At 48.6% G+C, this 4,976-nt stretch overlaps 1 annotated feature.

Annotated features, from left to right (window-relative positions):
- Positions 2,867-3,161: an enhancer, noted in NCBI's record as "tiled region #10482; HepG2 Activating DNase matched - State 5:Enh". NCBI's record gives its function as "activates a minimal TATA promoter and a strong SV40 promoter by Sharpr-MPRA in HepG2 cells {active_cell/tissue: HepG2}" and the evidence as "EXISTENCE:reporter gene assay evidence [ECO:0000049][PMID:27701403]".

Genomic DNA, 4,976 nt, shown 5'->3' with positions numbered 1-4,976 from the left:
CCATGGGACAGGAGATGGTGAGAAGCTTGAAGGGGACAAGGGGGCTAAGACATGCTCCCCTAAAAGCAGGGACAAGTGTGGGTTCCTCTGAGGGTGAGATTGAGGATGGGCCAGGCCTGAGCCCAAGGTCTGTTGAGGCCTATCCCTCTCTCCAGGGTGTGTGCTCACCATGCCCTTCCTGGTGTCCCTGGGATCCAAGAAGGTCATGGACAGGTATATGGGCCACTGCCCAAGAGTTTGAGAGTGAAGTGTATATGTAAGTTACTAAGAACACGCTCAGCTTCTGGCACAAATCCACTCATTCACTCATCAAACACTCGGCGCCTGCTCCACGCTCAGCCCTTCTGCACTCCTGACTTTGCTGATTCTCGTACAACCCAACCATAACTCCATGTGACTGTGAGTGGGGGCTTCCAGAGCCTGGGAGGTTTGCCAAGTCCTCCTGCTAAGTGGCTGAGCTAGGATTTGAACTGAGATCTGTCTCACCACAAGGCATGTGGTGATGGCTCCAGAGTCTCTGTCTTCCTGGAGTCTGGCATCTTGTGAGGGATGTTTGAGCCTTATGGAAACTCAGGGTGCAGGGTCAGGAAGGTGGATAAAGGACATGGAGTGGGAGCCAAGAGGAGGATAAGAGCTGGTGGGGAGGATGGAGCAGGCTTAGGAGAGGAGGCAGCCTTTGGGTTTGTCATCAACTTAGACAGATGGAGCTGGGGGACAGGGCTCTCAGTGGAGGAATTAGCCTGGGTGAAAGCTCACAGGTGGCAATGGAGGGAGTTTCCAGAACAGCAAGTAGGCCCCATGTGGCTGGGGAGTGAGGTGCTGGATAACTGGAACTGGGAAGCAGAGGCTGCACACAGGTCCTAAGGGACCTTGAGAGCCAGGGTAAGGAGCCTGGTTATCACCCTGCAGGGATGGAATGCTGCTGCCATATTTCTGCTGTGTGACCCAGCCCATGGCCACAGTTGTTTGGAGCAAGTTGGGCCAAAAGCCTCATCTTTCCTTGGAAATTGGTGTTTGAATTCTGGGTACTGGTCAGAGTGTGGTGGGAGCTTGAATGGGAAAGGGTGAGAACAGGAAGCCAGGAAGCCTCACCCAGGCCTTGTGCATAAGGAGCCACAGAAAGGCTCTCTGCAGAGAAGGAGGGGCAAAGCAGGCATGTAGAGAATGCAGAAGAGGTTGGAGATGGCTTAATGAAACTGTATAATAGAGTGAGCCAAAGCACATTAAAAATTAGTTTAAAAAGACCCCCCAAACAGAAAACAAAAACAAAAGGCAGAAAATAAAAGCAAGGTAGATGAGTCCAGATTGAACTAGAAGTGACATGATGACATAAAAGCTGTGTTGAGATGGGCCAAGAGTTGATGCTGGGCCTCCTAGTGGCCAATGGGAAGAGGGAAAAAAGATCAACTGTGAGACCCATGGTGTTTCTCAAGGAAAAGCAAACCCACTGCTCAGGAGAGATGTAAGTATTGCTGGTTCTGGGCTGGAAAGAAATTTCTCTGGCGGCTCGTCAAATACCTGGGCAGATTTTTGTTCAGAGGGGACATGGGTAGAAGCAGCAGAATTTACTCTGGGAATCAGAAGACTAGATACTGGTTCCAACATCATACATGAACTTGGGAGGTTGCTTAGCCTGTCTGAGACTTAGTTTCCTGTACTGTAACATAGAGGCACATGCTGTAGAGGGCCATGAAGGTGATCTGACAGATGCGATGAAGTAGCAGGGACACAGCAGCTAGTCAGTAAGGCTAGCCTGCTTTATTCCCTCCCTCCAAAAGCTGCCTCTCTTTAATTAAACTTTTTATTTCTCTTTTACCCTCTCCTGCCCTGGGCCAGCTCCTCCTAAGGTCTACTCACTGCCTCTGGGACCAGGACACAGCCAGGCTGCTGCTGGCATGGTGCCTCCTCAAATCAGCAGGGCCCATAGCTCCCTCCTGGGCCTGTGTCCACAGCTGACTGCTCTGCAGAGCCAGGCTCTGCCAGCCTGCAATCTCCTAGAGCCTCCTCTGTGCCCAGCCCTGGGCGGGGCTGAGAACTGTGCCCCCAACCCAGTCCAGCCCCCATCACGTGCTCCGTTAGCACCCTGTACACCTCTTTCCTGCACAAATCCCAGGAATAGATAAATAATTATCTGCTAGAACACACGTTTCACAGGACAGGGATGTATGGGGTGCCTGGTCAGCACTTGCAGCAGAGTGGGTGCTGTATGTTGCTGGAATGAATGAATGGAATGAATTGAGTAAAATTTTGTCATGGCTGGTCCTGTGGGGTCAGGAGATCGCTGTTTCCATTTTATAGTTAAGAAACTTCATTTCCACCTCTTTACCCATTTCTACTTGCCTTTCAGGCTACTGCCAAAATGTTATTCCCTTAGGAAGGCAAGGACTAAAGCTTTAGATTGGGTCAGCTACTCCCCACCTCCACCATGGTTAAACCCCCATGTTTCCAAGATTTGCTCTGATTCCCTTGTAGATATATTCATCTGCTGGGCACTGTTAATTTGGATTTATGACCTCTTAACTCCTAACACCACCACTTACATAATGTGCAGGGCCCAGTGCAAAATGGAAATAAAATAAAATTTTGTTTAAAAAGTATTAAGACATTCAAGATGGCCAAAGCAGAACATTAAACCAGGCATTGCCCTTTCTAACTGCAGAGTCCTGTGTGACTATGCAGGTCGCATGCCGGTGAAGCTGGTCCTGTCTCTGTGGCAGCATGGACATTGTAGGTCTGGTTTACTGCTGTCTCCTCCTGGCCCAAGCCTCATGCAGTGCCTACTTCTCACACACATCTCATTTAAACATCAAATGAATCAATGACAGAAGATGTAAAAATAGAAGTTAAATAACCTTAGTTTTAGCTTTCCCATCTGCAAAAGGGGATTATCTTTCTTCCCTCATAGGTAAGCAGTGATGACTCTGAGCCTTGGGGCCACCAGATCATGTTACACATGTACTGATTCATCTGGGACCACATGTCTGGGTGGCTAGAGGACAGAAGTCAGCTCTGCGTGGGGCAGAGTGAGGCTGACCTGATAAGATCAGTGGACTCTGCTCTCTCCAGGCGGCCAGCAGGCCTCCTATGACATACTCCTATCTGGCTGGAGCCCAGGGAGCGGGGATGGGCTGTGGGCTTCCTCTTCTTCATAAACCCTATTTAGTGAGCACCTACCATGTATCAGGTCCTGCAATAGGCACTTTGGATGCATTATCTTTTATCTGACTTCATTTTGCAGAGGGGCAAGTCAAGGGTCAGAAAGTAACAATGCCATGTCCAGGGTCAGGGGCAGTCAGCTGTGGAAGCCGGATCTGCCACGGCCTAGACCAGGGCTTGCTGAGAACAAATAATGTGCACTGAAAGGGGGATTTGTGCATAGAGCTCTGTGTGTGTTGCTTGTGCCTGTGTGCAGGACTCCAGAAAACATCCCGTGTTTTGGCTTTAGATGCTGCTGACTTTCTCTGGGGCCCAAGCAGCGACTCTCCAGGCAGACCTGCTATGTCCCTGGGGCTGGAGGGAGCACAGATTTCCCACCAGCCTTGACTCGAGTCAGTATCAGGAATACCCAGTGGTACTGAAACTGTAAGACAAACATTGCTGATTTTCCTGGTGTAACGTTTTTACACAGACTTTTGTCATATATTTCCTTTTTTGTCTTTGTTTTTTTCTGATTAAAGGAGTAATAGTTTGTTAAGCTTAAACTTGCATTAAGACTTTTGGGATACTTGTATAAGCTTGTTTTAAAAAACTAAGAAAATGTACAATGTAAACAGAAAAAAAAAGACTCAGAGTCCTGAAACTCTTTTCTCCCACTACAAAGCCATCATGAACTTGTATATGCACACACGCACTATTACACATATACCACACACATGCACATATACACCCCCCACATGCACACACACCACAGAAACAGACACCATGTATACAATCCACATAAACCACACACTCTCACATACATCATCCCTTCACACACACATATATGTGTACACACACCATGTGCACACACACTATTACACACACCACACACATGCACACATGCACCCCTCCACATGCACACACACACCACAGAAACAGACACCATGTATACAATCCACATACACCACACACAGTCTCACATACACCATCCCCCAACACACATTTTTGTACACACACACCATGTGCACACACACACTATTACACACACCACGCACATGCAAGTGTACCACAAACACTACACACACGCACACACACTATGACACACCATACACACGCACACACACCACACACATGCCACTTGCACATACACATTATACACACATACCACATACATAAGCCACATACATACCACACATATACACACATATATGCACACATATACACCACAGATGCATACATACTGGACATGCACACACACACCCCACATGCACACACACCCCATACACACACAAACACGCAGCACCTGCATACCCACACATACCACATTTTTTTCACTCTCTTTTCTTTTTTTTTTCTTTTTTTTTTTTTTTTTGAGACGGAGTCTCGCTCTGTCGCCCAGGCTGGAGTGCAGTGGCGGGATCTCGGCTCACTGCAAGCTCCGCTTCCCGGGTTCACGCCATTCTCCTGCCTCAGCCTCCCAAGTAGCTGGGACTACAGGCGCCCACCACTACGCCCGGCTAATTTTTTGTATTTTTAGTAGAGACGGGGTTTCACCGTTTTAGCCGGGATGGTCTCGATCTCCTGACCTCGTGATCCGCCCGCCTCGGCCTCCCAAAGTGCTGGGATTACAGGCGTGAGCCACCGCGCCCGGCCTTCACTCTCTTTTCAAAGACTATAGAGGTCAAAAGCTGACTGCCTGCTTTGAAAACTGGGATTTGAATGTTTTTACACGGAGCTTACGCTGTGCAGTTTGACACAGGCCTCACTTCTCCCTGGAGCCTCACATCTGTCCACTTTCTACCTTGTGCCTTGAAAACATTTGCATTTTAAAACTTGGC

The sequence above is a fragment of the Homo sapiens genome, chromosome 20 (assembly GCF_000001405.40).
Source record: "Homo sapiens chromosome 20, GRCh38.p14 Primary Assembly".
Taxonomy (NCBI): Eukaryota; Metazoa; Chordata; class Mammalia; order Primates; family Hominidae; genus Homo; species Homo sapiens.
The sequence above is the reverse complement of the archived record's forward strand: the minus strand, read 5'-3'. Positions and strand labels throughout refer to the sequence as shown.